The following is a 27,420-nucleotide window of genomic DNA, read 5'->3' on the forward strand; positions in this document are numbered from 1 at the left end:
CTGTGAAGATAAAGGAAAAGGCTTTCAGGCCTTTTCCACCACAGGCCTGAAAGCGCTCCAAATGTCCACTTGCAGATTCTGCCAAAAGAATATTTCAAAACTGCTCTATGAAAAGCAATGTTAAACTCTGCGGCTCGAACACCAACATCACAACGCAGTTTCTGAGAATGCTTCAGTTTAGTTTTTCTGTGGAAATATTCCCATTTCCAAAGAAATCTTCAAAGAGGTCCACGTATCCACTTACAGATTCTACAAAAAGACAGTTTCAAAACTGCTCAATCAAAAGGCGGGTTCAACTGTGTGACTTGAATGCAATCATCACTCAGAAGTTTCTGAGAATGCTTCTCTTTAGTTTTTACGTGAACATATACCCGTTTCGAACGAAGGCCACCCAGTGGTCCAAATATCCACTTGCAGATTCTACAGAAAGAGTGTTTGGAACCTGAACTCTCAAAGGCAGGTTCATCTCTGCGAGTTAAATGCATTCATCATGAAGAACTTTCTCAGAGTGTTTGTGTTTAGTTATGGGAAATTATTCCCGTTTCCAACGAAATCCTCCGAGAGGTCCAAATATCCACCTGCAGATTCTACCAAAAGTGTATTTGGAAACTGCTCCATCAAAAGGCATGTTCAGCTCTGTGAGTGAAACTCCATCATCACAAAGAATATTCTGAGAATGCTTCCGTTTGCCTTTTATATGAAGTTCCTTCCTATACTACCGTAGGCCTCAAAGCAGTCCAAATCTCCATTTGCAGATTCTACAACAAGAGTGATTCCAATCTGCTCTATCAATAGGATTGTTCAACTCCATGAGTTGAATGCCTTCCTCACAAAGTCGTTTCTGAGAATGCTTCTATCTAGTTTTTATGTGAAGATATTTCCTTTTCCACCACAGGACTCAAAGCCCTCCAAACATCCACTTGCAGATTCTCGAAAAAGAGTGTTTCATAGCTGCTCTTTCAAAAGGAAAGTTCAACTCTGGGAGTTGAATACAAACATCACAAAGTAGTTTCCGAGAATGCTTCTGTTTAGTTCTTATGTGAAGATGATCCCGTTTCCAGTGAAATCTTCAAAGAGGTCCACATATCCCCTTGCAGATTCCAAAGAAAGAGGGTTTCAAAACTGCTCCATCAAAAGGATTGTTCAACTCTGTGAGTTGAATGCAGTCATCGCAGAAAACTTTCTGAGAATGCTTCTGTCTAGGTTTGATGTGAAGATATAGACGTTTCAAACGAAGGCTACAAAGTGGTCAAAATATACACTTGCAGATTCTACTACAAGGGTGTTGCAAACCTGAACTATCAAAGGAAGGTTCAACTCTGTGAGTTGAATACAAACATCACAAAGAATGTTCTGAGTTTGCTTCCGTTCAGTTATGGGAAGTTGATCCCGTTTGCAACGAAATCCTCAGAGAGGTCCAAATATCCCCTTGCAGATTCTGCAAAACGTGTGTTTGGAAACTGCTCCATCATAACGAATGTTCAGCTCTCTGAGTTAAACTCCATCGTCACAAAGAATTTTCTGAGAGTGCTACCGTCTAGTTTTTATATGAAGTTCTTTCCTTTACTACCACAGGCCTCAAAGCGGTCCAAATCTCCACTTGCAGATTCTACAAAAAGAGTGTTTGCAAACTGCTCTATCAAAAGGAATGTTCAACTCTGGGAGTTGAATGCAATCATCACAGAGCAGTTCCTGAGAATGCTTCTATGTCGTTTTTAGGAGAAGATATTTCCTTTTCCACCACAGTCCTCCAAGCCCACTAAATATCCACTTGCACATTGTAGAAAAAGTGTGTCGAAGCTGCGCTATCAAAGGGAAAGTTCAACTCTGTGAGGTGAATGCAAACATCCCAAAGAAGTTTCTGAGAATGCTTCCGTTTAGCTTTTAGGTGAAGATTATCCCGTTTCCAACGAAATCTTCAAAGAGGTCCAAATATCCCCTTGCGGATCCCACAGAAAGAGTGTTTCGAAACTGCTGTTTCAAAAGGAATCTACAACTCTGTGAGTTGACTGCAATCATCACAAAGAAGTTTCTGACAATGCTTCTCTCTCGTCTTTCTGTGAAGATAAAGGAAAAGGCTTTCAGGCCTTTTCCACCACAGGCCTGAAAGCGCTCCAAATGTCCACTTGCAGATTCTGCCAAAAGAATATTTCAAAACTGCTCTATGAAAAGCAATGTTAAACTCTGCGGCTCGAACACCAACATCACAACGCAGTTTCTGAGAATGCTTCAGTTTAGTTTTTCTGTGGAAATATTCCCATTTCCAAAGAAATCTTCAAAGAGGTCCACGTATCCACTTACAGATTCTACAAAAAGACAGTTTCAAAGCTGCTCAATCAAAAGGCGGGTTCAACTGTGTGACTTGAATGCAATCATCACTCAGAAGTTTCTGAGAATGCTTCTCTTTAGTTTTTACGTGAACATATACCCGTTTCGAACGAAGGCCACCCAGTGGTCCAAATATCCACTTGCAGATTCTACAGAAAGAGTGTTTGGAACCTGAACTCTCAAAGGCAGGTTCATCTCTGCGAGTTAAATGCATTCATCATGAAGAACTTTCTCAGAGTGTTTGTGTTTAGTTATGGGAAATTATTCCCGTTTCCAACGAAATCCTCCGAGAGGTCCAAATATCCACCTGCAGATTCTACCAAAAGTGTATTTGGAAACTGCTCCATCAAAAGGCATGTTCAGCTCTGTGAGTGAAACTCCATCATCACAAAGAATATTCTGAGAATGCTTCCGTTTGCCTTTTATATGAAGTTCCTTCCTATACTACCGTAGGCCTCAAAGCAGTCCAAATCTCCATTTGCAGATTCTACAAAAAGAGTGATTCCAATCTGCTCTATCAATAGGATTGTTCAACTCCATGAGTTGAATGCCTTCCTCACAAAGTCGTTTCTGAGAATGCTTCTATCTAGTTTTTATGTGAAGATATTTCCTTTTCCACCACAGGCCTCAAAGCCCTCCAAACATCCACTTGCAGATTCTCGAAAAAGAGTGTTTCATAGCTGCTCTTTCAAAAGGAAAGTTCAACTCTGGGAGTTGAATACAAACATCACAAAGTAGTTTCCGAGAATGCTTCTGTTTAGTTCTTATGTGAAGATGATCCCGTTTCCAGTGAAATCTTCAAAGAGGTCCACATATGCCCTTGCAGATTCCAAAGAAAGTGGGTTTCAAAACTGCTCCATCAAAAGGATTGCTCAACTCTGTGAGTAGAATGCAGTCATCGCAGAAAACTTTCTGAGAATGCTTCTGTCTAGGTTTGATGTGAAGATATAGACGTTTCAAACGAAGGCTACAAAGTGGTCAAAATATACACTTGCAGATTCTACTACAAGGGTGTTGCAAACCTGAACTATCAAAGGAAGGTTCAACTCTGTGAGTTGAATACAAACATCACAAAGAATGTTCTGAGTTTGCTTCCGTTCAGTTATGGGAAGTTGATCCCGTTTCCAACGAAATCCTCAGAGAGGTCCAAATATCCCCTTGCAGATTCTGCAAAACGTGTGTTTGGAAACTGCTCCATCATAACGAATGTTCAGCTCTCTGAGTTAAACTCCATCGTCACAAAGAATTTTCTGAGAGTGCTACCGTCTAGTTTTTATATGAAGTTCTTTCCTTTACTACCACAGGCCTCAAAGCGGTCCAAATCTCCACTTGCAGATTGTACAAAAAGAGTGTTTGCAAACTGCTCTATCAAAAGGTATGTTCAACTCTGGGAGTTGAATGCAATCATCACAGAGCAGTTCCTGAGAATGCTTCTATGTCGTTTTTAGGAGAAGATATTTCCTTTTCCACCACAGTCCTCCAAGCCCGCTAAATATCCACTTGCACATTGTAGAAAAAGTGTGTCGAAGCTGCGCTATCAAAGGGAAAGTTCAACTCTGTGAGGTGAATGCAAAATCCCAAAGAAGTTTCTGAGAATGCTTCCGTTTAGCTTTTAGGTGAAGATTATCCCGTTTCCAACGAAATCTTCAAAGAGGTCCAAATATCCCCTTGCGGATCACACAGAAAGAGTGTTTCGAAACTGCTGTTTCAAAAGGAATCTACAACTCTGTGAGTTGAATGCAATCATCACAAAGAAGTTTCTGACAATGCTTCTCTCTCGTCTTTCTGTGAAGATAAAGGAAAAGGCTTTCAGGCCTTTTCCACCACAGGCCTGAAAGCGCTCCAAATGTCCACTTGCAGATTCTGCCAAAAGAATATTTCAAAACTGCTCTATGAAAAGCAATGTTAAACTCTGCGGCTCGAACACCAACATCACAAAGCAGTTTCTGAGAATGCTTCAGTTTAGTTTTTCTGTGGAAATATTCCCGTTTCCAAAGAAATCTTCCAAGAGGTCCACGTATCCACTTACAGATTCTACAAAAAGACAGTTTCAAAACTGCTCAATCAAAAGGCGGGTTCAACTGTGTGACTTGAATGCAATCATCACTCAGAAGTTTCTGAGAATGCTTCTCTTTAGTTTTTACGTGAACATATACCCGTTTCGAACGAAGGCCAGCCAGTGGTCCAAATATCCACTTGCAGATTCTACAGAAAGAGTGTTTCGAACCTGAACTCTCAAAGGCAGGTTCATCTCTGCGAGTTAAATGCATTCATCATGAAGAACTTTCTCAGAGTGTTTGTGTTTAGTTATGGGAAATTATTCCCGTTTCCAACGAAATCCTCCGACAGGTCCAAATATCCACCTGCAGATTCTACCAAAAGTGTATTTGGAAACTGCTCCATCAAAAGGCATGTTCAGCTCTGTGAGTGAAACTCCATCATGACAAAGAATATTCTGAGAATGCTTCCGTTTGCCTTTTATATGAAGTTCCTTCCTATACTACCGTAGGCCTCAAAGCAGTCCAAATCTCCATTTGCAGATTCTACAAAAAGAGTGATTCCAATCTGCTCTATCAATAGGATTGTTCAACTCCATGAGTTGAATGCCATCCTCACAAAGTCGTTTCTGAGAATGCTTCTATCTAGTTTTTATGGGAAGATATTTCCTTTTCCACCGCAGGCCTCAAAGCCCTCCAAACGTCCGCTTGCAGATTCTCGAAAAAGAGTGTTTCATAGCTGCTCTTTCAAAAGGAAAGTTCAACTCTGGGAGTTGAATACAAACATCACAAAGTAGTTTCCGAGAATGCTTCTGTTTAGTTCTTAAGTGAAGATGATCCCGTTTCCAGTGAAATCTTGAAAGAGGTCCACATATCCCCTTGCAGATTCCAAAGAAAGAGGGTTTCAAAACTGCTCCATCAAAAGGATTGCTCAACTCTGTGAGTTGAATGCAGTCATCGCAGAAAACTTTCTGAGAATGCTTCTGTCTAGGTTTGATGTGAAGATATAGACGTTTCAAACGAAGGCTACAAAGTGGTCAAAATATACACTTGCAGATTCTACTACAAGGGTGTTGCAAACCTGAACTATCAAAGGAAGGTTCAACTCTGTGAGTTGAATACAAACATCACAAAGAATGTTCTGAGTTTGCTTCCGTTCAGTTATGGGAAGTTGATCCCGTTTCCAACGAAATCCTCAGAGAGGTCCAAATATCCCCTTGCAGATTCTGCAAAACGTGTGTTTGGAAACTGCTCCATCATAACGAATGTTCAGCTCTCTGAGTTAAACTCCATCGTCACAAAGAATTTTCTGAGAGTGCTACCATCTACTTTTTATATGAAGTTCTTTCCTTTACTACCACAGGCCTCAAAGCGGTCCAAATCTCCACTTGCAGATTCTACAAAAAGAGTGTTTGCAAACTGCTCTATCAAAAGGAATGTTCAACTCTGGGAGTTGAATGCAATCATCACAGAGCAGTTTCTGAGAATCCTTCTATGTCGTTTTTAGGAGAAGATATTTCCTTTTCCAACACAGTCCTCCAAGCCCGCTAAATATCCACTTGCGCATTGTAGAAAAAGTGTGTCGAAGCTGCGCTATCAAAGGGAAAGTTCAACTCTGTGAGGTGAATGCAAACATCCCAAAGAAGTTTCTGAGAATGCTTCCGTTTAGCTTTCAGGTGAAGATTATCCCGTTTCCAACGAAATCTTCAAAGAGGTCCAAATATCCCCTTGCGGATCCCACAGAAAGAGTGTTTTGAAACTGCTGTTTCAAAAGGAATCTTCAACTCTGTGAGTTGAATGCAATCATCACAAAGAAGTTTCTGACAATGCTTCTCTCTCGTCTTTCTGTGAAGATAAAGGAAAAGGCTTTCAGGCCTTTTCCACCACAGGCCTGAAAGCGCTCCAAATGTCCACTTGCAGATTCTGCCAAAAGAATATTTCAAAACTGCTCTATGAAAAGCAATGTTAAACTCTGTGGCTCGAACACCAACATCACAAAGCAGTTTCTGAGAATGCTTCAGTTTAGTTTTTCTGTGGAAATATTCCCGTTTCCAAGGAAATCTTCCAAGAGGTCCACGTATCCACTTACAGATTCTACAAAAAGACAGTTTCAAAACTGCTCAATCAAAAGGCGGGTTCAACTGTGTGACTTGAATGCAATCATCACTCAGAAGTTTCTGAGAATGCTTCTCTTTAGTTTTTACGTGAACATATACCCGTTTCGAACGAAGGCCAGCCAGTGGTCCAAATATCCACTTGCAGATTCTACAGAAAGAGTGTTTCGAACCTGAACTCTCAAAGGCAGGTTCATCTCTGCGAGTTAAATGCATTCATCATGAAGAACTTTCTCAGAGTGTTTGTGTTTAGTTATGGGAAATTATTCCCGTTTCCAACGAAATCCTCCGACAGGTCCAAATATCCACCTGCAGATTCTACCAAAAGTGTATTTGGAAACTGCTCCATCAAAAGGCATGTTCAGCTCTGTGAGTGAAACTCCATCATCACAAAGAATATTCTGAGAATGCGTCCGTTTGCCTTTTATATGAAGTTCCTTCCTATACTACCGTAGGCCTCAAAGCAGTCCAAATCTCCCTTTGCAGATTCTACAAAAAGAGTGATTCCAATCTGCTCTATCAATAGGATTGTTCAACTCCATGAGTTGAATGCCATCCTCACAAAGTCGTTTCTGAGAATGCTTCTATCTAGTTTTTATGTGAAGATATTTCCTTTTCCACCACAGGCCTCAAAGCCCTCCAAACGTCCACTTGCAGATTCTCGAAAAAGAGTGTTTCATAGCTGCTCTTTCAAAAGGAAAGTTCAACTCTGGGAGTTGAATACAAACATCACAAAGTAGTTTCCGAGAATGCTTCTGTTTAGTTCTTATGTGAAGATGATCCCGTTTCCAGTGAAATCTTGAAAGAGGTCCACATATCCCCTTGCAGATTCCAAAGAAAGAGGGTTTCAAAACTGCTCCATCAAAAGGATTACTCAACTCTATGAGTTGTATGCAGTCATCGCAGAAAACTTTCTGAGAATGCTTCTGTCTAGGTTTGATGTGAAGATATAGACGTTTCAAACGAAGGCTACAAAGTGGTCAAAATATACACTTGCAGATTCTACTACAAGGGTGTTGCAAACCTGAACTATCAAAGGAAGGTTCAACTCTGTGAGTTGAATACAAACATCACAAAGAATGTTCTGAGTTTGCTTCCGTTCAGTTATGGGAAGTTGATCCCGTTTCCAACGAAATCCTCAGAGAGGTCCAAATATCCCCTTGCAGATTCTGCAAAACGTGTGTTTGGGAACTGCTCCATCATAACGAATGTTCAGCTCTCTGAGTTAAACTCCATCGTCACAAAGTTTTTTCTGAGAGTGCTACCGTCTAGTTTTTATATGAAGTTCTTTCCTTTACTACCACAGCCCTCAAAGCGGTCCATATCTCCACTTGCAGATTCTACAAAAAGAGTGTTTGCAAACTGCTCTATCAAAAGGAATGTTCAACTCTGGGAGTTGAATGCAATCATCACAGAGCAGTTTCTGAGAATGCTTCTATGTCGTTTTTAGGAGAAGATATTTCCTTTTCCAACACAGTCCTCCAAGCCCGCTAAATATCCACTTGCGCATTGTAGAAAAAGTGTGTCGAAGCTGCGCTATCAAAGGGAAAGTTCAACTCTGTGAGGTGAATGCAAACATCCCAAAGAAGTTTCTGAGAATGCTTCCGTTTAGCTTTCAGGTGAAGATTATCCCGTTTCCAACGAAATCTTCAAAGAGGTCCAAATATCCCCTTGCGGATCCCACAGAAAGTGTGTTTCGAAACTGCTGTTTCAAGAGGAATCTTCAACTCTGTGAGTTGAATGCAATCATCACAAAGAAGTTTCTGACAATGCTTCTCTCTCGTCTTTCTGTGAAGATAAAGGAAAAGGCTTTCAGGCCTTTTCCACCACAGGCCTGAAAGCGCTCCAAATGTCCACTTGCAGATTCTGCCAAAAGAATATTTCAAAACTGCTCTATGAAAAGCAATGTTAAACTCTGCGGCTCGAACACCAACATCACAAAGCCGTTTCTGAGACTGCTTCAGTTTGGTTTTTCTGTGGAAATATTCCCGTTTCCAAAGAAATCTTCCAAGAGGTCCACGTATCCACTTACAGATTCTACAAAAAGACAGTTTCAAAACTGCTCCATCAAAAGGCGGGTTCAACTGTGTGACTTGAATGCAATCATCACTCAGATGTTTCTGAGAATGCTTCTCTTTAGTTTTTACGTGAACATATACCCGTTTTGAACGAAGGCCACCCAGTGGTCCAAATATCCACTTGCAGATTCTACAGAAAGAGTGTTTCGAACCTGAACTCTCAAATGCAGGTTCATCTCTGCGAGTTAAATGCATTCATCATGAAGAACTTTCTCAGAGTGTTTGTGTTTAGTTATGGAAAATTATTCCCTTTTCCAACGAAATCCTCCGAGAGGTCCAAATATCCACCTGCAGATTCTACCAAAAGTGTATTTGGAAACTGCTCCATCAAAAGGCATGTTCAGCTATGTGAGTGAAACTCCATCATCACAAAGAATATTCTGAGAATGCTTCCGTTTGCCTTTTAGATGAAGTTCCTTCCTATACTACCGTAGGCCTCAAAGCAGTCCAAATCTCCATTTGCAGATTCTACAAAAAGAGTGATTCCAATCTGCTCTATCAATAGGATTGTTCAACTCCATGAGTTGAATGCCATCCTCACAAAGTCTTTTCTGAGAATGCTTCTATCTAGTTTTTATGTGAAGATATTTCCTTTTCCACCACAGGCCTCAAAGCCCTCCAAACGTCCGCTTGCAGATTCTCGAAAAAGAGTGTTTCGTAGCTGCTCTTTCAAAAGGAAAGTTCAAATCTGTGATTTGAATACAAACATCACAAAGTAGTTTCCGAGAATGCTTCTGTTTACTTCTTATGTGAAGATGATCCCGTTTCCAGTGAAATCTTCAAAGAGGTCCACATATCCCCTTGCAGATTCCAAAGAAAGAGGGTTTCAAAACTGCTCCATCAAAAGGATTGTTCAACTCTGTGAGTTGAATGCAGTCATCGCAGAAAACTTTCTGAGAATGCTTCTGTCTAGGTTTGATATGAAGATATAGACGTTTCAAACGAAGGCTACAAAGTGGTCAAAATATACACTTGCAGATTCTACTACAAGGGTGTTGCAAACCTGAACTATCAAAGGAAGTTTCAACTCTGTGAGTTGAATACAAACATCACAAAGAATGTTCTGAGTTTGCTTCCGTTCAGTTATGGGAAGTTGATCCCGTTTCCAACGAAATCCTCAGAGAGGTCCAAATATCCCCTTGCAGATTCTGCAAAACGTGTGTTTGGAAACTGCTCCATCATAACGAATGTTCAGCTCTCTGAGTTAAACTCCATCGTCACAAAGAATTTTCTGAGAGTGCTACCGTCTAGTTTTTATATGAAGTTGTTTCCTTTACTACCACAGGCCTCAAAGCGGTCCAAATCTCCACTTGCAGATTCTACAAAAAGAGTGTTTGCAAACTGCTCTATCAAAAGGAATGTTCAACTCTGGGAGTTGAATGCAATCATCACAGAGCAGTTTCTGAGAATGCTTCTATGTGGTTTTTAGGAGAAGATATTTCCTTTTCCACCACAGTCCTCCAAGCCCGCTAAATATCCACTTGCACATTGTAGAAAAAGTGTGTCGAAGCTGCGCTATCAAAGGGAAAGTTCAACTCTGTGAGGTGAATGCAAACATCCCAAAGAAGTTTCTGAGAATGCTTCCGTTTAGCTTTCAGGTGAAGATTATCCCGTTTCCAACGAAATCTTCAAAGAGGTCCAAATATCCCCTTGCGGATCCCACAGAAAGAGTGTTTCGAAACTGCTGTTTCAAAAGGAATCTTCAACTCTGTGAGTTGAATGCAATCATCACAAAGAAGTTTCTGACAATGCTTCTCTCTCGTCTTTCTGTGAAGATAAAGGAAAAGGCTTTCAGGCCTTTTCCACCACAGGCCTGAAAGCGCTCCAAATGTCCACTTGCAGATTCTGCGAAAAGAATATTTCAAAACTGCTCTATGAAAAGCAATGTTAAACTCTGTGGCTCGAACACCAACATCACAAAGCAGTTTCTGAGAATACTTCAGTTTAGTTTTTCTGTGGAAATATTCCCGTTTCCAAAGAAATCTTCCAAGAGGTCCACGTATCCACTTACAGATTCTACAAAAAGACAGTTTCAAAACTGCTCAATCAAAAGGAGGGTTCAACTGTGTGACTTGAAAGCAATCATCACTCAGAAGATTCTGAGAATGCTTCTCTTTAGTTTTTACGTGAACATATACCCGTTTCGAACGAAGGCCAGCCAGTGGTCCAAATATCCACTTGCAGATTCTACAGAAAGAGTGTTTCGAACCTGAACTCTCAAAGGCAGGTTCATCTCTGCGAGTTCAATGCATTCATCATGAAGAACTTTCTCAGAGTGTTTGTGTTTAGTTATGGGAAATTATTCCCGTTTCCAACGAAATCCTCAGAGAGGTCCAAATATCCACCGGCAGATTCTACCAAAAGTGTATTTGGAAACTGCTCCATCAAAAGGCATGTTCAGCTCTGTGAGTGAAACTCCATCATGACAAAGAATATTCTGAGAATGCTTCCGTTTGCCTTTTATATGAAGTTCCTTCCTATACTACCGTAGGCCTCAAAGCAGTCCAAATCTCCATTTGCAGATTCTACAAAAAGAGTGATTCCAATCTGCTCTATCAATAGGATTGTTCAACTCCATGAGTTGAATGCCATCGTCACAAAGTAGTTTCTGAGAATGCTTCTATCTAGTTTTTATGTGAAGATATTTCCTTTTCCACCACAGGCCTCAAAGCCCTCCAAACGTCCACTTGCAGATTCTCGAAAAAGAGTGTTTCATAGCTGCTCTTTCAAAAGGAAAGTTCAACTCTGGGAGTTGAATACAAACATCACAAAGTAGTTTCCGAGAATGCTTCTGTTTAGTTTTTATGTGAAGATGATCCCGTTTCCAGTGAAATCTTCAAAGAGGTCCACATATGCCCTTGCAGATTCCAAAGAAAGAGGGTTTCAAAACTGCTCCAGCGAAAGGATTGTTCAACTCTGTGAGTTGAATGCAGTCATCGCAGAAAACTTTCTGAGAATGCTTCTGTCTAGGTTTGATGTGAAGATATAGACGTTTCAAACGAAGGCTACAAAGTGGTCAAAATATACACTTGCAGATTCTACTACAAGGGTGTTGCAAACCTGAACTATCAAAGGAAGGTTCAACTCTGTGAGTTGAATACAAACATCACAAAGAATGTTCTGAGTTTGCTTCCGTTCAGTTATGGGACGTTGATCCCGTTTCCAACGAAATCCTCAGAGAGGTCCGAATATCCCCTTGCAGATTCTACAAAACGTGTGTTTGGAAACTGCTCCATCATAACGAATGTTCAGCTCTCTGAGTTAAACTCCATCGTCACAAAGAATTTTCTGAGAGTGCTACCGTCTGGTTTTTATATGAAGTTCTTTCCTTTACTACCACAGGCCTCAAAGCGGTCCAAATCTCCACTTGCAGATTCTACAAAAAGAGTGTTTGCAAACTGCTCTATCAAAAGGAATGTTCAACTCTGGGAGTTGAATGCAATCATCACAGAGCAGTTTCTGAGAATGCTTCTATGTGGTTTTTAGGAGAAGATATTTCCTTTTCCACCACAGTCCTCCAAGCCCGCTAAATATCCACTTGCACATTGTAGAAAAAGTGTGTCGAAGCTGCGCTATCAAAGGGAAAGTTCAACTCTGTGAGGTGAATGCAAACATCCCAAAGAAGTTTCTGAGAATGCTTCCGCTTAGGTTTTAGGTGAAGATTATCCCGTTTCCAACGAAATCTTCAAAGAGGTCCAAATATCCCCTTGCGGATCCCACAGAAAGAGTGTTTCGAAACTGCTGTTTCAAAAGGAATCTTCAACTCTGTGAGTTGAATGCAATCATCACAAAGAAGTTTCTGACAATGCTTCTCTCTCGTCTTTCTGTGAAGATAAAGGAAAAGGCTTTCAGGCCTTTTCCACCACAGGCCTGAAAGCGCTCCAAATATCCGCTTGCAGATTCTGCGAAAAGAATATTACAAAACTGCTCTATGAAAAGCAATGTTAAACTCTGTGGCTCGAACACAAACATCACAAAGCAGTTTCTGAGAATACTTCAGTTTAGTTTTTCTGTGGAAATATTCCCGTTTCCAAAGAAATCTTCAAAGAGGTCCACGTATCCACTTACAGATTCTACAAAAAGACAGTTTCAAAACTGCTCAATCAAAAGGAGGGTTCAACTGTGTGACTTGAAAGCAATCATCACTCAGAAGATTCTGAGAATGCTTCTCTTTAGTTTTTACGTGAACATATACCCGTTTCGAACGAAGGCCACCCAGTGGTCCAAATATCCACTTGCAGATTCTACAGAAAGAGTGTTTCGAACCTGAACTCTCAAAGGCAGGTTCATCTCTGCGAGTTCAATGCATTCATCATGAAGAACTTTCTCAGAGTGTTTGTGTTTAGTTATGGGAAATTATTCCCGTTTCCAACGAAATCCTCAGAGAGGTCCAAATATCCACCGGCAGATTCTACCAAAAGTGTATTTGGAAACTGCTCCATCAAAAGGCATGTTCAGCTCTGTGAGTGAAACTCCATCATCACAAAGAATATTCTGAGAATGCTTCCGTTTGCCTTTTATATGAAGTTCCTTCCTATACTACCGTAGGCCTCAAAGCAGTCCAAATCTCCATTTGCAGATTCTACAAAAAGAGTGATTCCAATCTGCTCTATCAATAGGATTGTTCAACTCCATGAGTTGAATGCCATCCTCACAAAGTAGTTTCTGAGAATGCTTCTATCTAGTTTTTATGTGAAGATATTTCCTTTTCCACCACAGGCCTCAAAGCCCTCCAAACGTCCACTTGCAGATTCTCGAAAAAGAGTGTTTCATAGCTACTCTTTCAAAAGGAAAGTTCAACTCTGGGAGTTGAATACAAACCTCACAAAGTAGTTTCCGAGAATGCTTCTGTTTAGTTTTTATGTGAAGATGATCCCATTTCCAGTGAAATCTTCAAAGAAGTCCACATATCCCCTTGCAGATTCCAAAGAAAGAGGGTTTCAAGACTGCTCCATCAAAAGGATTGCTCAAATCTGTGAGTTGAATGCAGTCATCGCAGAAAACGTTCTGAGAATGATTCTGTCTAGGTTTGATGTGAAGATATAGACGTTTCAAACGAAGGCTACAAAGTGGTCAAAATATTCACTTGCAGATTCTACTACAAGGGTGTTGCCAACCTGAACTATCAAAGGAAGGTTCAACTCTGTGAGTTGAATAGAAACATCACAAAGAATGTTCTGAGTTTGCTTCCGTTCAGTTATGGGAAGTTGATCCCTTTTCCAACGAAATCCTCAGAGAGGTCCAAATATCCCCTTGCAGATTCTACAAAACGTGTGTTTGGAAACTGCTCCATCATAACGAATGTTCAGCTCTCTGAGTTAAACTCCATCGTCACAAAGAATTTTCTGAGAGTGCTACCGTCTAGTTTTTATATGAAGTTCTTTCCTTTACTACCACAGGCCTCAAAGCGGTCCAAATCTCCACTTGCAGATTCTACAAAAAGAGTGTTTGCAAACTGCTCTATCAAAAGGAATGTTCAACTCTGGGAGTTGAATGCAATCATCACAGAGCAGTTTCTCAGAATGCTTCTATGTGGTTTTTAGGAGAAGATATTTCCCTTTCCACCACAGTCCTCCAAGCCCGCTAAATATCCACTTGCACATTGTAGAAAAAGTGTGTCGAAGCTGCGCTATCAAAGGGAAAGTTCAACTCTGTGAGGTGAATGCAAACATCCCAAAGAAGTTTCTGAGAATGCTTCCGTTTAGCTTTTAGGTGAAGATTATCCCGTTTCCAACGAAATCTTCAAAGAGGTCCAAATATCCCCTTGCGGATCCCACAGAAAGAGTGTTTCGAAACTGCTGTTTCAAAAGGAATCTTCAACTCTGTGAGTTGAATGCAATCATCACAAAGAAGTTTCTGACAATGCTTCTCTCTCGTCTTTCTGTGAAGATAAAGGAAAAGGCTTTCAGGCCTTTTCCACCACAGGCCTGAAAGCGCTCCAAATGTCCACTTGCAGATTCTGCGAAAAGAATATTTCAAAACTGCTCTATGAGAAGCAATGTTAAACTCTGTGGCTCGAACACAAACATCACAAAGCAGTTTCTGAGAATGCTTCAGTCTAGTTTTTCTGTGGAATTATTCCCGTTTCCAAAGAAATCTTCAAAGAGGTCCACGTATCCACTTACAGATTCTACAAAAAGACAGTTTCAAAACTGCTCAATCAAAAGGAGGGTTCAACCGTGTGACTTGAATGCAATCATCACTCAGAAGTTTCTGAGAATGCTTCTCTTTAGTTTTTACGTGAACATATACCCGTTTCGAACGAAGGCCACCCAGTGGTCCAAATATCCACTTGCAGATTCTACAGAAAGGGTGTTTCGAACCTGAACTCTCAAAGACAGGTTCATCTCTGCGAGTTAAATGCATTCATCATGAAGATCTTTCTCAGAGTGTTTGTGTTTAGTTATGGGAAATTATTCCCGTTTCCAACGAAATCCTCAGAGAGGTCCAAATATCCACCTGCAGATTCTACCAAAAGTGTATTTGGCAACTGCTTCATCAAAAGGCATGTTCAGCTCTGTGAGTGAAACTCCATCATCACAAAGAATATTCTGAGAATGCTTCCGTTTGCCTTTTATATGAAGTTCCTTCCTGTACTACCGTAGGCCTCAAAGCAGTCCAAATCTCCATTTGCGGATTCTACAAAAAGAATGATTCCAATCTCCTCTATCAATAGGATTGTTCAACTCCATGAGTTGAATGCCATCCTCACAAAGTCGTTTCTGAGAATGCTTCTTTCTAGTTTTTATGTGAAGATATTTCCTTTTCCACCACAGGCCTCAAAGCCCTCCAAACGTCCACTTGCAGATTCTCGAAAAAGAGTGTTTCAAAGCTGCTCTTTCAAAAGGAAAGTTCAACTCTGGGAGTTGAATACAAACATCACAAAGTAGTTTCCGAGAATGCTTCTGTTTAGTTTTTATGTGAAGATGATCCCGTTTCCAGTGAAATCTTCAAAGAGGTCCACATATCCCCTTGCAGATTCCAAAGAAAGAGGGTTTCAAAACTGCTCCATCAAAAGGATTGTTCAACTCTGTGAGTTGAATGCAGTCATCGCAGAAAACTTTCTGAGAATGCTTCTGTCTAGGTTTGATGTGAAGATATAGACTTTTCAAACGAAGGCTACAAAGTGGTCAAAATATACACTTGCAGATTCTACTACAAGGGTGTTGCCAACCTGAACTATCAAAGGAAGGTTCAACCCTGTGAGTTGAATACAAACATCACAAAGAATGTTCTGAGTTTGCTTCCGTTCAGTTATGGGAAGTTGATCCCGTTTCCAACGAAATCTGCAGAGAGGTCCAAATATCCCCTTGCAGATTCTACAAAACGTGTGTTTGGAAACTGCTCCATCATAACGAATGTTCAGCTCTCTGAGTTAAACTCCATCGTCACAAAGAATTTTCTGAGAGTGCTACCGTCTAGTTTTTATAGGAAGTTCTTTCCTTTACTACCACAGGCCTCAAAGCGGTCCAAATCTCCACTTGCAGATTCTACAAAAAGAGTGTTTGCAAACTGCTCTATCAAAAGGAATGTTCAACTCTGGGAGTTGAATGCAATCATCACAGAGCAGTTTCTGAGAATGCTTCTATGTGGTTTTTAGGAGAAGATATTTCCTTTTCCACCACATTCCTCCAAGCCCGCTAAAAATCCACTTGCACATTGTAGAAAAAGTGTGTCAAAGCTGCGCTATCAAAGGGAAAGTACAACTCTGTGAGGTGAATGCAAACATCCCAAAGAAGTTTCTGAGAATGCTTCCGTTTAGCTTTTAGGTGAAGATTATCCCGTTTCCAACGAAATCTTCAAAGAGGTCCAAATATCCCCTTGCGGATCCCACAGAAAGAGTGTTTCGAAACTTCTGTTTCAAAAGGAATCTTCAACTCTGTGAGTTGAATGCAATCATCACAAAGAAGTTTCTGACAATGCTTCTCTCTCGTCTTTCTGTGAAGATAAAGGAAAAGGCTTTCAGGCCTTTTCCACCACAGGCCTGAAAGCGCTCCAAATGTCCACTTGCAGATTCTGCGAAAAGAATATTTCAAAACTGCTCTATGAGAAGCAATGTTAAACTCTGTGGCTCGAACACAAACATCACAAAGCAGTTTCTGAGAATGCTTCAGTTTAGTTTTTCTGTGGAAATATTCCCGTTTCCAAAGAAATCTTCAAACAGGTCCACGTATCCACTTACAGATTCTACAAAAAGACAGTTTCAAAACTGCTCAATCAAAAGGAGGGTTCAACCGTGTGACTTGAATGCAATCATCACTCAGAAGTTTCTGAGAATGCTTCTCTTTAGTTTTTACGTGAACATATACCCGTTTCGAACGAAGGCCACCCAGTGGTCCAAATATCCACTTGCAGATTCTACAGAAAGGGTGTTTCGAACCTGAACACTCAAAGACAGGTTCATCTCTGCGAGTTCAATGCATTCATCATGAAGAACTTTCTCAGAGTGTTTGTGTTTAGTTATGGGAAATTATTCCCGTTTCCAACGAAATCCTCAGAGAGGTCCAAATATTCTCCTGCAGATTCTAACAAAAGTGTATTTGGAAACTGCTCCATCAAAAGGCATGTTCAGCTCTGTGAGTGAAACTAAATCATCACAAAGAATATTCTGAGAATGCTTCCGTTTGCCTTTTATATGAAGTTCCTTCCTGTACTACCGTAGGCCTCAAAGCAGTCCAAATCTCCATTTGCAGATTCTACAAAAAGAGTGATTCCAATCTGCTCTATCAATAGGATTGTTCAACTCCATGAGTTGAATGCCATCCTCACAAAGTCGTTTCTGAGAATGCTTCTGTCTAGCTTTTATGTGAAGATATTTCCTTTTCCACCACAGGCCTCAAAGCCCTCCAAACGTCCACTTGCAGATTCTCGAAAAAGAGTGTTTCATAGCTACTCTTTCAAAAGGAAAGTTCAACTCTGGGAGTTGAATACAAACATCACATAGTAGTTTCCGAGAATGCTTCTGTTTAGTTTTTATGTGAAGATGATCCCATTTCCAGTGAAATCTTCAAAGAGGTCCACATATCCCCTTGCAGATTCCAAAGAAAGAGGGTTTCAAGACTGCTCCATCAAAAGGATTGCTCAAATCTGTGAGTTGAATGCAGTCATCGCAGAAAACGTTCTGAGAATGCTTCTGTCTAGGTTTGATGTGAAGATATAGACGTTTCAAACGAAGGCTACAAAGTGGTCAAAATATACACTTGCAGATTCTACTACAAGGGTGTTGCCAACCTGAACTATCAAAGGAAGGTTCAACTCTGTGAGTTGAATAGAAACATCACAAAGAATGTTCTGAGTTTGCTTCCGTTCAGTTATGGGAAGTTGATCCCGTTTCCAACGAAATCCTCAGAGAGGTCCAAATATCCCCTTGCAGATTCTACAAAACGTGTGTTTGGAAACTGCTCCATCATAACGAATGTTCAGCTCTCTGAGTTAAACTCCATCGTCACAAAGAATTTTCTGAGAGTGCTACCGTCTAGTTTTTATATGAAGTTCTTTCCTTTACTACCACAGGCCTCAAAGCGGTCCAAATCTCCACTTGCAGATTCTACAAAAAGAGTGTTTGCAAACTGCTCTATCAAGAGGAATGTTCAACTCTGGGAGTTGAATGCAATCATCACAGAGCAGTTTCTGAGAATGCTTCTATGTGGTTTTTAGGAGAAGATATTTCCTTTTCCACCACAGTCCTCCAAGCCCGCTAAATATCCACTTGCAGATGGTAGAAAAAGTGTTTCAAAGCTGTGCTATCAAAGGGAAAGTTCAACTCTGTGAGGTGAATGCAAGCATCCCAAAGAAGTTTCTGAGAGTGCTTCCGTTTAGCTTTTAGGTGAAGATTATCCCGTTTCCAACGAAACCTTCAAAGAGGTCCAAATATCCCCTTGCGGATCCCACAGAAAGAGTGTTTCGAAACTGCTGTTTCAAAAGGAATCTTCAACTCTGTGAGTTGAATGCAATCATCACAAAGAAGTTTCTGACAATGCTTCTCTCTCGTCTTTCTGTGAAGATAAAGGAAAAGGCTTTCAGGCCTTTTCCACCACAGGCCTGAAAGCGCTCCAAATGTCCACTTGCAGATTCTGCGAAAAGAATATTTCAGAACTGCTCTATGAGAAGCAATGTTAAACTCTCTGGCTCGAACACAAACATCACAAAGCAGTTTCTGAGAATGCTTCAGTTTAGTTTTTCTGTGGAAATATTCCCGTTTCCAAAGAAATCTTCAAACAGGTCCACGTATCCACTTACAGATTCTACAAAAAGACAGTTTCAAAACTGCTCAATCAAAAGGAGGGATCAACCGTGTGACTTGAATGCAATCATCACTCAGAAGTTTCTGAGAATGCTTCTCTTTAGTTTTTACGTGAACATATACCCGTTTCGAACGAAGGCCAGCCAGTGGTCCAAATATCCACTTGCAGATTCTACAGAAAGGGTGTTTCGAACCTGAACTCTCAAAGGCAGGTTCATCTCTGCGAGTTAAATGCATTCATCATGAAGAACTTTCTCAGAGTGTTTGTGTTTAGTTATGGGAAATTATTCCCGTTTCCAACGAAATCCTCAGAGATGTCCAAATATCCACCTGCAGATTCTACCAAAAGTGTATTTGGAGACTGCTCCATCAAAAGGCATGTTCAGCTCTGTGAGTGAAACTCCATCATCACAAAGAATATTCTGAGAATGCTTCCGTTTGCCTTTTATATGAAGTTCCTTCCTGTACTACCGTAGGCCTCAAAGCAGTCCAAATCTCCATTTGCAGATTCTACAAAAAGAGTGATTCCAATCTGCTCTATCAATAGGATTGTTCAACTCCATGAGTTGAATGCCATCCTCACAAAGTCGTTTCTGAGAATGCTTCTATCTAGTTTTTATGTGAAGATATTTCCTTTTCCACCACAGGCCTCAAAGCCCTCCAAAAGTCCACTTGCAGATTCTCGAAAAAGAGTGTTTCATAGCTGCTCTTTCAAAAGGAAAGTTCAACTCTGGGAGTTGAATACAAACATCACAAAGTAGTTTCCGAGAATGCTTCTGTTTAGTTTTTATGTGAAGATGATCCCGTTTCCAGTGAAATCTTCAAAGAGGTCCACATATCCCCTTGCAGATTCCAAAGAAAGAGGGTTTCAAAACTGCTCCATCAAAAGGATTGTTCAACTCTGTGAGTTGAATGCAGTCATCGCACAAAACTTTCTGAGAATGCTTCTGTCTAAGTTTGATGTGAAGATATAGACGTTTCAAACGAAGGCTACAAAGTGGTCAAAATATACACTTGCAGATTCCACTACAACGGTGTTGAAACCTGAACTATCAAAGGAAGGTTCAACTCTGTGAGTTGAATACAAACATCACAAAGAATGTTCTGAGTTTGCTTCCGTTCAGTTATGGGAAGTTGATCCCGTTTCCAACGAAATCCTCAGAGAGGTCCAAATATCCCCTTGCAGATACTACAAAACGTGTGTTTGGAAACTGCTCCATCATAACGAATGTTCAGCTCTCTGAGTTAAACTCCATCGTCACAAAGAATTTTCTGAGAGTGCTACCGTCTGGTTTTTATATGAAGTTCTTTCCTTTACTACCACAGGCCTCAAAGCGGTCCAAATCTCCACTTGCAGATTCTACAAAAAGAGTGTTTGCAAACTGCTCTATCAAAAGGAATGTTCAACTCTGGGAGTGGAATGCAATCATGACAGAGCAGTTTCTGAGAATGCTTCTATGTCGTTTTTAGGAGAAGATATTTCCTTTTCCAACACAGTCCTCCAAGCCCGCTAAATATCCACTTGCACATTGTAGAAAAAGTGTGTCAAAGCTGCGCTATCAAAGGGAAAGTTCAACTCTGTGAGGTGAATGCAAACATCCCAAAGAAGTTTCTGAGAATGCTTCCGTTTAGCTTTTAGGTGAAGATTATCCCGTTTCCAACGAAATCCTTCAAAGAGGTCCAAATATCCCATTGCGGATCCCACAGAAAGAGTGTTTCGAAACTGCTGTTTCAAAAGGAATCTTCAACTCTGTGAGTTGAATGCAATCATCACAAAGAAGTTTCTGACAATGCTTCTCTCTGGTCTTTCTGTGAAGATAAAGGAAAAGGCTTTCAGGCCTTTTCCACCACAGGCCTGAAAGGGCTCCAAATGTCCACTTGCAGATTCTGTGAAAAGAATATTTCAAAACTGCTCTTTGAGAAGCAATGTTAAACTCTGTGGCTCGAACACAAACATCACAAAGCAGTTTCCGAGAATGCTTCAGTTTAGTTTTTCTGTGGAAATATTCCCGTTTCCAAAGAAATCTTCCAGGAGGTCCACGTATCCACTTACAGATTCTAAAAAAAGACAGTTTCAAAACTGCTCAATCAAAAGGAGGGTTCAACTGTGTGACTTGAATGCAATCATCACTCAGAAGTTTCTGAGAATGCTTCTCTTTAGTTTTTACGTGAACATATACCCGTTTCGAACGAAGGCCACCCATTGGTCCAAATATCCACTTGCAGATTCTACAGAAAGAGTGTTTCGAACCTGAACTATCAAAGGCAGGTTCATCTCTGCGAGTTAAATGCATTCATCATGAAGAACTTTCTCAGAGTGTTTGTGTTTAGTTATGGGAAATTATTCCCGTTTCCAACGGAATCCTCAGAGAGCTCCAAATATCCACCTGCAGATTCTACCAAAAGTGTATTTGGAAACAGCTCCATCAAAAGGCATGTTCAGCTCTGTGAGTGAAACTCCATCATCACAAAGAATATTCTGAGAATGCTTCCGTTTGCCTTTTATATGAAGTTCCTTCCTATACTACCGTAGGCCTCAAAGCAGTCCAAATCTCCATTTGCAGATTCTACAAAAAGAGTGATTCCAATCTGCTCTATCAATAGGATTGTTCAGCTCCATGAGTTGAATGCCATCCTCACAAAGTCGTTTCTGAGAATGCTTCTATCTAGTTTTTATGTGAAGATATTTCCTTTTCCACCACAGGCCTCAAAGCCCTCCAAATGTCCACTTGCAGATTCTCGAAAAAGAGTGTTTCATAGCTGCTCTTTCAAAAGGAAAGTTCAACTCTGGGAGTTGAATACAAACATCACAAAGTAGTTTCTGAGAATCTTCTGTTTAGTTTTTATGTGAAGATGATCCCGTTTCCAGTGAATTCTTCAAAGAGGTCCACATATCCCCTTGCAGATTCCAAAGAAAGATGGTTTCAAAACTGCTCCATCAAAAGGATTGTTCAACTCTGTGAGTTGAATGCAGTCATCACAGCAAACTTTCTGAGAATGCTTCTGTCTAGGTTTGATGTGAAGATATAGACGTTTCAAACGAAGGCTACAAAGTGGTCAAAATATACACTTGCAGATTCTACTACAAGGGTGTTGCAAACCTGAACTATCAAAGGAAGGTTCAACTCTGTGAGTTGAATACAAACATCACAAAGAATGTTCTGAGTTTGCTTCCGTTCAGTTACGGGAAGTTGATCCCGTTTCCAACGAAATCCTCGGAGAGGTCCAAATATCCCCTTGCAGATTCTACAAAACGTGTGTTTGGAAACTGCTCCATCATAACGAATGTTCAGCTCTCTGAGTTAAACTCCATCGTCCCAAAGAATTTTCTGAGAGTGCTACCATCTAGTTTTCATACGAAGTTCTTTCCTTTACTACCACAGGCCTCAAAGCGGTCCAAATCTCCACTTGCAGATTCTACAAAAAGAGTGTTTGCAAACTGCTCTATCAAAAGGAATGTTCAACTCTGGGAGTTGAATGCAATCATCACAGAGCAGTTTCTGAGAATGCTTCTATGTCGTTTTTAGGAGAAGATATTTCCTTTTCCAACACAGTCCTCCAAGCCCGGTAAATACGACTTGCACATTGTAGAAAAAATGTATCAAAGCTGCGCTATCAGAGGGAAAGTTCAACTCTGTGAGGTGAATGCAAACATCCCAAAGAAGTTTCTGAGAATGCTTCCGTTTAGCTTTTAGGTGAAGATTATCCCGTTTCCAACGAAATCTTCAAAGAGGTCCAAATATCCCCTTGCGGATCCCACAGAAAGAGTGTTTCGAAACTGCTGTTTCAAAAGGAATCTTCAACTCTGTGAGTTGAATGCAAAAATCACAAAGAAGTTTCTGACAATGCTTCTCTCTTGTCTTTCTGTGAAGATAAAGGAAAAGGCTTTCAGGCCTTTTCCACCACAGGCCTGAAAGCGCTCCAAATGTCCACTTGTAGATTCTGCGAAAAGAATATTTCAAAACTGCTCTATGAAAAGCAATGTTAAACTCTGTGGCTCGAACACAAACATCACAAAGCAGTTTCTGAGAATGCTTCAGTTTAGTTTTTCTGTGGAAAGATTCCCGTTTCCAAAGAAATCTTCAAAGAGGTCCACGTATCCACTTACAGATTCTACAAAAAGACAATTTCAAAACTGCTCAATCAAAAGGAGGGTTCAACTGTGTGTCTTGAATGCAGTCGTCACTCAGAAGTTTCTGAGAATGCTTCTCTTTAGTTTTTACGTGAACATATACCTGTTTCGAAAGAAGGCCACCCAGTGGTCCAAATATCCACTTGCAGATTCTACAGAAAGAGTGTTTCGAACCTGAACTCTCAAAGGAAGGTTCATCTCTGTGAGTTAAATGCATTCATCATGAAGAACGTTCTCAGCGTGTTTGAGTTTAGTTATGGGAAATTATTCCCGTTTCCAACGAAATCCTCAGAGAGGTCCAAATATCCACCTGCAGATTCTACCAAAAGTGTATTTGGAAACTGCTCCATCAAAAGGCATGTTCAGCTCTGTGAGTGAAACTCCATCATCACAAAGAATATTCTGAGAATGCTTCCGTTTGCCTTTTATATGAAGTTCCTTCCTATACTACCGTAGGCCTCAAAGCAGTCCAAATCTCCATTTGCAGATTCTACAAAAAGAGTGATTCCAATCTGCTCTATCAATAGGATTGTTCAACTCCATGAGTTGAATGCCATCCTCGCAAAGTCGTTTCTGAGAATGCTTCTATCTAGTTTTTATGTGAAGATATTTCCTTTTCCACCACAGGCCTCAAAGCCCTCCAAACGTCCACTTGCAGATTCTCGAAAAAGAGTGTTTCATAGCTGCTCTTTCAAAAGGAAAGTTCAACTCTGGGAGTTGAATACAAACATCACAAAGTAGTTTCCGAGAATGCTTCTGTTTAGTTTTTATGTGAAGATGATCCCGTTTCCAGTGAAATCTTCAAGGAGTTCCACATACCACTTGCAGATTCCAAAGAAAGAGGGTTTCAAAACTGCTCCATCAAAAGGATTGTTCCAATCTGTGAGTTGAATGCAGTCATCACAGAAAACTTTCTGAGAATGCTTCTGTCTAGGTTTCATGTGAAGATATAGACGTTTCAAACGAAGGCTACAAAGTGGTCAAAATATACACTTGCAGATTCTACTACAAGGGTGTTGCAAACCTGAACTATCAAAGGAAGGTTCAACTCTGTGAGTTGAATACAAACATCACAAAGAATTTTCTGAGTTTGCTTCCGTTCAGTTATGGGAAGTTGATCCCATTTCCAACGAAATCCTCAGAGAGGTCCAAATATCCCTTTGCAGATTCTACAAAATGTGTGTTTGGAAACTGCTCCATCATAACGAATGTTCAGCTCTCTGAGTTAAACTCTATCGTCACAAAGAATTTTCTGAGAGTGCTACCGTCTAGTTTTTATATGAAGTTCTTTCCTTTACTACCACAGGCCTCAAAGCAGTCCAAATCTCCACTTGCAGATTCTACAAAAAGAGTGTTTGCAAACTGCTCTATCAAAAGGAATGTTCAACTCTGGGGGTTGAACGCAATCATCACAGAGCAGTTTCTGAGAATGCTTCTATGTCGTTTTTAGGAGAAGATATTTCCTTTTCCAACACAGTCCTCCAAACCCGCTAAATATCCACTTGCACATTGTTGAAAAAGTGTGTCAAAGCTGCACTATCAAAGGCAAAGTTCAACTCTGTGAGGTGAATGCAAACATCCCAAAGAAGTTTCTGAGAATGCTTCCGTTTAGCTTTTAGGTGAGATTATCCCGTTTCCAACGAAATCTTCAAAGAGTTCCAAATATCCCCTTGTGGATCCCACAGAAAGAGTGTTTCGAAACTGCTGTTTCAAAAGGAATCTTCAACTCTGTGAGTTGAATGCAATCATCACAAAGAAGTTTCTGGCAATGCTTCTCTCTCGTCTTTATGTGAAGATAAAGGAAAAGGCTTTCAGACCTTTTCCACCACAGGCCTGAAAGCGCTCCAAATGTCCACTTGCAGATTCTGCGAACAGAATGTTTCAAAACTGCTCTATGAAAAGCAATGTTAAACTCTGTGGCTCGAACACAAACATCACAAATCAGTTTCTGAGAATGCTTCAGTTTAGTTTTTCTGTGGAGATATTCCCATTTCCAAAGAAATCTTCAAAGAGGTCCACATATCCACTTACAGATTCTACAAAAAGACAGATTCAAAACTGCTCAATCAAAAGGAGGGTTCAACTGTGTGACTTGAATGCAATCATCACACAGAAGTTTCTGAGAATGCTTCTCCTTAGTTTTTACGTGAACATATACCCGTTTCGAACGAAGGCCACCCAGTGGTTCAAATATCCACTTGCAGATTTTACAGAAAGAGTCTTTCAAACCTGAACTCTCAAAGGAAGGTTCATCACTGTGAGTTAAATGCATTCATCATGAAGAACTTTCTCAGAATGTTTGTGTTTAGTCATGGGAAGTCTTTCCCATTTCCAACGAAATCCTCAGAGAGGTCCAAATATCCACTTGCAGATTCTACTAAAAGTGTATTTGGAAACTGCTCCATCAAAAGGCATGTTCAGCTCTGTGAGTTAAACTCCATCATCACAAAGAAAATTCTGAGAATGCTTCCGTTTGCTTTTTATATGAAGTTCCTTCCTATACTACCGTAGGCCTCAAAGCAGTCCAAATCTCCATTTACAGATTCTACAAAAAGAGTGTTTCCAATCTGCTCTATCAATAGGATTGTTCAACTCCGTGAGTTGAATGCCATCCTCACAAAGTAGTTTCTGAGAATGCTTCTATCTAGTTTTTATGTTTTTTATGTGAAGATATTTCCTTTTCCACCACAGGCCTCATAGCCCTCCTAATGTCCACTTGCAGATTCTCGAAAAAGACTCTTTCATAGCTGCTCTTTCAAAAGGAAAGCTCAACTCTCGGAGTTGAATACAAACATCACAAAGTAGTTTCCGAGAATGCTTCTGTTTAGTTTTTATGTGAAGATGATCCCTTTTCCAATGAAATGTTCAACGAGGTACACGTATGCCCTTGCAGATTCCAAAGAAAGTGGGTTTCAAAACTCCTCCATCAAAAGGATTGTTCAACTCTGAGAGTTGAATGCAGTCATCGCAGAAAACTTTGTGAGAATGCTTCTGTCTAGGTTTGATGTGAAGATATAGCCGTTTCAAACGAAGACTACAAAATGGTCAAAATATACACTTGCAGATTCTACTACACGGGTGTTGCAAACCTGCACTATCAAAGGAAGTTTCCACTCTGTGAGTTGAATGCAAGCATCACAAAGATGTTTCTGAGAATGCCTCCGTTCAGTTATGGGAATTTGATCCCGTTTCCAACGAAATCCTCAGAGAGGTCCAAATATCCCCTTGCAAATTCTACAAAAAGTTTGTTTGGAAACTGCTCCATCAAAATGAATGTTCAGCTCTCTGAGCTAACTCAATCGTCACAAAGAATTTTGTGAGAGTGCTACTGTCTAGTTTTCATGTGAAGTTCTTTCCTTTACTACCACAGGCCTCAAAGCGGTCCAAATCTCCACTTGCAGATTCTACAAAGGAGTGATTGCAAACTGCTCTATCAAAATGAATGTTCAACTCTGGGAGTTGAATGCAATCATCACAGAGTAGTTACTGAGAATGCTTCTGTCTTCTTTTTATATGAAGATATTTCCTTTTCTACCATAGACCTCAAAGCACTCTAAATACACACTTGCAAATTCTACAACAAGAGGTTTTCAAAACTGCTCTATCGATAGAAAATTTAAACTCTGTCAGTTGAATGGTCACATCACAAATTTGTTTCTGGGACTGATTCTGTCTATTTTTTTTATGAAGATATTGCCTTTTCTACCGTAGGATTCAAAGCGCTCTAAATATCCTCTTGGAAATTCTGCAAAAAGAGTGTTTCAAATCTGCTCTATCAAAAAGAAGTTTCATCTCTGTGAGTTGTATGCACACATCACAGAGAAGTCTCTGAGAATTCTTCTGTCTAGTTTTATATGAAGAAATCCCGTTTCCAACGAAGGCCTCAAATTGGTCCAAATATCCACTTGCAGATTCTACAAAAAGAGTGATAGCAATCTGCTCTATGAAGAGGAATGTTCAACTCTGTGTGTTGAATGCACATATCACAAAGTAGTTTCTGAGAATGCTTCTGTCTGTCTAGTTTTTATGTGAAGATATTTCGTTTTCCACCAAAGGCTTGAAAGCGCTCTAAATGAACACTTGAACATTCTACAAAAAGAATGTTTCAAAACTGCTCTATGAAAAGAAGTGTTCCATTCTGTGAGGTTAATCCACACATTAAATAGCAGTTTCTGAGAATGCTTCTGTCTAGTTTTTATGTGAAGATATTTCCTTTTCCATCATAGGCCTCAAATCGCTCCAAATATCCACTTGCAGATACCACAGAAAGAATGTTTTGAAACTGCTCTCTCAAAAGGAAGGTTCCTTCAACTCTGTGAGCTGAAGGCACACATCACAAAGCAGTTTCTGAGAATGCTTCTGTCTACTCTTTATGTGAAGATATCCGGTTTACAATGAATTCCTCTAAGAGCTCCTAATATCCACAAGCAGAACCAACAAAAGCAGTGTTTCAAAACTGCTCTATCAAAAGAAAGGTTCAATGCCGTGAATTGAACACAAACATCACAAAGTTTTTTCTGAGAATGCT

At 40.3% G+C, this 27,420-nt stretch overlaps 21 annotated features.

Annotated features, from left to right (window-relative positions):
- Nucleotides 927-1,894: an enhancer, noted in NCBI's record as "OCT4-NANOG-H3K27ac-H3K4me1 hESC enhancer chrX:61700403-61701370 (GRCh37/hg19 assembly coordinates)". NCBI's record gives its function as "activates a minimal SCP1, AML or CMV promoter by ChIP-STARR-seq in primed H9 embryonic stem cells {active_cell/tissue: H9 hESC(primed)}" and the evidence as "EXISTENCE:reporter gene assay evidence [ECO:0000049][PMID:30033119]".
- Nucleotides 1,895-2,862: an enhancer, noted in NCBI's record as "OCT4-NANOG-H3K27ac-H3K4me1 hESC enhancer chrX:61701371-61702338 (GRCh37/hg19 assembly coordinates)". NCBI's record gives its function as "activates a minimal SCP1, AML or CMV promoter by ChIP-STARR-seq in primed H9 embryonic stem cells {active_cell/tissue: H9 hESC(primed)}" and the evidence as "EXISTENCE:reporter gene assay evidence [ECO:0000049][PMID:30033119]".
- Nucleotides 2,863-3,830: an enhancer, noted in NCBI's record as "OCT4-NANOG-H3K27ac-H3K4me1 hESC enhancer chrX:61702339-61703306 (GRCh37/hg19 assembly coordinates)". NCBI's record gives its function as "activates a minimal SCP1, AML or CMV promoter by ChIP-STARR-seq in naive H9 embryonic stem cells {active_cell/tissue: H9 hESC(naive)}" and the evidence as "EXISTENCE:reporter gene assay evidence [ECO:0000049][PMID:30033119]".
- Nucleotides 3,831-4,798: an enhancer, noted in NCBI's record as "OCT4-NANOG-H3K27ac-H3K4me1 hESC enhancer chrX:61703307-61704274 (GRCh37/hg19 assembly coordinates)". NCBI's record gives its function as "activates a minimal SCP1, AML or CMV promoter by ChIP-STARR-seq in naive H9 embryonic stem cells {active_cell/tissue: H9 hESC(naive)}" and the evidence as "EXISTENCE:reporter gene assay evidence [ECO:0000049][PMID:30033119]".
- Nucleotides 4,799-5,764: an enhancer, noted in NCBI's record as "OCT4-NANOG-H3K27ac-H3K4me1 hESC enhancer chrX:61704275-61705240 (GRCh37/hg19 assembly coordinates)". NCBI's record gives its function as "activates a minimal SCP1, AML or CMV promoter by ChIP-STARR-seq in primed H9 embryonic stem cells {active_cell/tissue: H9 hESC(primed)}" and the evidence as "EXISTENCE:reporter gene assay evidence [ECO:0000049][PMID:30033119]".
- Nucleotides 7,701-8,668: an enhancer, noted in NCBI's record as "OCT4-NANOG-H3K27ac-H3K4me1 hESC enhancer chrX:61707177-61708144 (GRCh37/hg19 assembly coordinates)". NCBI's record gives its function as "activates a minimal SCP1, AML or CMV promoter by ChIP-STARR-seq in primed H9 embryonic stem cells {active_cell/tissue: H9 hESC(primed)}" and the evidence as "EXISTENCE:reporter gene assay evidence [ECO:0000049][PMID:30033119]".
- Nucleotides 8,669-9,634: an enhancer, noted in NCBI's record as "OCT4-NANOG-H3K27ac-H3K4me1 hESC enhancer chrX:61708145-61709110 (GRCh37/hg19 assembly coordinates)". NCBI's record gives its function as "activates a minimal SCP1, AML or CMV promoter by ChIP-STARR-seq in primed H9 embryonic stem cells {active_cell/tissue: H9 hESC(primed)}" and the evidence as "EXISTENCE:reporter gene assay evidence [ECO:0000049][PMID:30033119]".
- Nucleotides 10,603-11,570: an enhancer, noted in NCBI's record as "OCT4-NANOG-H3K27ac-H3K4me1 hESC enhancer chrX:61710079-61711046 (GRCh37/hg19 assembly coordinates)". NCBI's record gives its function as "activates a minimal SCP1, AML or CMV promoter by ChIP-STARR-seq in primed H9 embryonic stem cells {active_cell/tissue: H9 hESC(primed)}" and the evidence as "EXISTENCE:reporter gene assay evidence [ECO:0000049][PMID:30033119]".
- Nucleotides 11,571-12,538: an enhancer, noted in NCBI's record as "OCT4-NANOG-H3K27ac-H3K4me1 hESC enhancer chrX:61711047-61712014 (GRCh37/hg19 assembly coordinates)". NCBI's record gives its function as "activates a minimal SCP1, AML or CMV promoter by ChIP-STARR-seq in naive and primed H9 embryonic stem cells {active_cell/tissue: H9 hESC(naive and primed)}" and the evidence as "EXISTENCE:reporter gene assay evidence [ECO:0000049][PMID:30033119]".
- Nucleotides 12,539-13,504: an enhancer, noted in NCBI's record as "OCT4-NANOG-H3K27ac-H3K4me1 hESC enhancer chrX:61712015-61712980 (GRCh37/hg19 assembly coordinates)". NCBI's record gives its function as "activates a minimal SCP1, AML or CMV promoter by ChIP-STARR-seq in naive and primed H9 embryonic stem cells {active_cell/tissue: H9 hESC(naive and primed)}" and the evidence as "EXISTENCE:reporter gene assay evidence [ECO:0000049][PMID:30033119]".
- Nucleotides 13,616-14,319: an enhancer, noted in NCBI's record as "OCT4-NANOG-H3K27ac-H3K4me1 hESC enhancer chrX:61713092-61713795 (GRCh37/hg19 assembly coordinates)". NCBI's record gives its function as "activates a minimal SCP1, AML or CMV promoter by ChIP-STARR-seq in naive H9 embryonic stem cells {active_cell/tissue: H9 hESC(naive)}" and the evidence as "EXISTENCE:reporter gene assay evidence [ECO:0000049][PMID:30033119]".
- Nucleotides 14,320-15,022: an enhancer, noted in NCBI's record as "OCT4-NANOG-H3K27ac-H3K4me1 hESC enhancer chrX:61713796-61714498 (GRCh37/hg19 assembly coordinates)". NCBI's record gives its function as "activates a minimal SCP1, AML or CMV promoter by ChIP-STARR-seq in naive and primed H9 embryonic stem cells {active_cell/tissue: H9 hESC(naive and primed)}" and the evidence as "EXISTENCE:reporter gene assay evidence [ECO:0000049][PMID:30033119]".
- Nucleotides 15,023-15,726: an enhancer, noted in NCBI's record as "OCT4-NANOG-H3K27ac-H3K4me1 hESC enhancer chrX:61714499-61715202 (GRCh37/hg19 assembly coordinates)". NCBI's record gives its function as "activates a minimal SCP1, AML or CMV promoter by ChIP-STARR-seq in primed H9 embryonic stem cells {active_cell/tissue: H9 hESC(primed)}" and the evidence as "EXISTENCE:reporter gene assay evidence [ECO:0000049][PMID:30033119]".
- Nucleotides 17,835-18,537: an enhancer, noted in NCBI's record as "OCT4-NANOG-H3K27ac-H3K4me1 hESC enhancer chrX:61717311-61718013 (GRCh37/hg19 assembly coordinates)". NCBI's record gives its function as "activates a minimal SCP1, AML or CMV promoter by ChIP-STARR-seq in naive H9 embryonic stem cells {active_cell/tissue: H9 hESC(naive)}" and the evidence as "EXISTENCE:reporter gene assay evidence [ECO:0000049][PMID:30033119]".
- Nucleotides 18,538-19,239: an enhancer, noted in NCBI's record as "OCT4-NANOG-H3K27ac-H3K4me1 hESC enhancer chrX:61718014-61718715 (GRCh37/hg19 assembly coordinates)". NCBI's record gives its function as "activates a minimal SCP1, AML or CMV promoter by ChIP-STARR-seq in primed H9 embryonic stem cells {active_cell/tissue: H9 hESC(primed)}" and the evidence as "EXISTENCE:reporter gene assay evidence [ECO:0000049][PMID:30033119]".
- Nucleotides 19,240-19,943: an enhancer, noted in NCBI's record as "OCT4-NANOG-H3K27ac-H3K4me1 hESC enhancer chrX:61718716-61719419 (GRCh37/hg19 assembly coordinates)". NCBI's record gives its function as "activates a minimal SCP1, AML or CMV promoter by ChIP-STARR-seq in naive and primed H9 embryonic stem cells {active_cell/tissue: H9 hESC(naive and primed)}" and the evidence as "EXISTENCE:reporter gene assay evidence [ECO:0000049][PMID:30033119]".
- Nucleotides 19,944-20,646: an enhancer, noted in NCBI's record as "OCT4-NANOG-H3K27ac-H3K4me1 hESC enhancer chrX:61719420-61720122 (GRCh37/hg19 assembly coordinates)". NCBI's record gives its function as "activates a minimal SCP1, AML or CMV promoter by ChIP-STARR-seq in naive and primed H9 embryonic stem cells {active_cell/tissue: H9 hESC(naive and primed)}" and the evidence as "EXISTENCE:reporter gene assay evidence [ECO:0000049][PMID:30033119]".
- Nucleotides 20,647-21,349: an enhancer, noted in NCBI's record as "OCT4-NANOG-H3K27ac-H3K4me1 hESC enhancer chrX:61720123-61720825 (GRCh37/hg19 assembly coordinates)". NCBI's record gives its function as "activates a minimal SCP1, AML or CMV promoter by ChIP-STARR-seq in naive and primed H9 embryonic stem cells {active_cell/tissue: H9 hESC(naive and primed)}" and the evidence as "EXISTENCE:reporter gene assay evidence [ECO:0000049][PMID:30033119]".
- Nucleotides 21,350-22,051: an enhancer, noted in NCBI's record as "OCT4-NANOG-H3K27ac-H3K4me1 hESC enhancer chrX:61720826-61721527 (GRCh37/hg19 assembly coordinates)". NCBI's record gives its function as "activates a minimal SCP1, AML or CMV promoter by ChIP-STARR-seq in naive and primed H9 embryonic stem cells {active_cell/tissue: H9 hESC(naive and primed)}" and the evidence as "EXISTENCE:reporter gene assay evidence [ECO:0000049][PMID:30033119]".
- Nucleotides 22,052-22,754: an enhancer, noted in NCBI's record as "OCT4-NANOG-H3K27ac-H3K4me1 hESC enhancer chrX:61721528-61722230 (GRCh37/hg19 assembly coordinates)". NCBI's record gives its function as "activates a minimal SCP1, AML or CMV promoter by ChIP-STARR-seq in naive and primed H9 embryonic stem cells {active_cell/tissue: H9 hESC(naive and primed)}" and the evidence as "EXISTENCE:reporter gene assay evidence [ECO:0000049][PMID:30033119]".
- Nucleotides 22,755-23,457: an enhancer, noted in NCBI's record as "OCT4-NANOG-H3K27ac-H3K4me1 hESC enhancer chrX:61722231-61722933 (GRCh37/hg19 assembly coordinates)". NCBI's record gives its function as "activates a minimal SCP1, AML or CMV promoter by ChIP-STARR-seq in naive and primed H9 embryonic stem cells {active_cell/tissue: H9 hESC(naive and primed)}" and the evidence as "EXISTENCE:reporter gene assay evidence [ECO:0000049][PMID:30033119]".

This window comes from Homo sapiens, chromosome X (assembly GCF_000001405.40).
Source record: "Homo sapiens chromosome X, GRCh38.p14 Primary Assembly".
Lineage (NCBI taxonomy): Eukaryota > Metazoa > Chordata > Mammalia > Primates > Hominidae > Homo > Homo sapiens.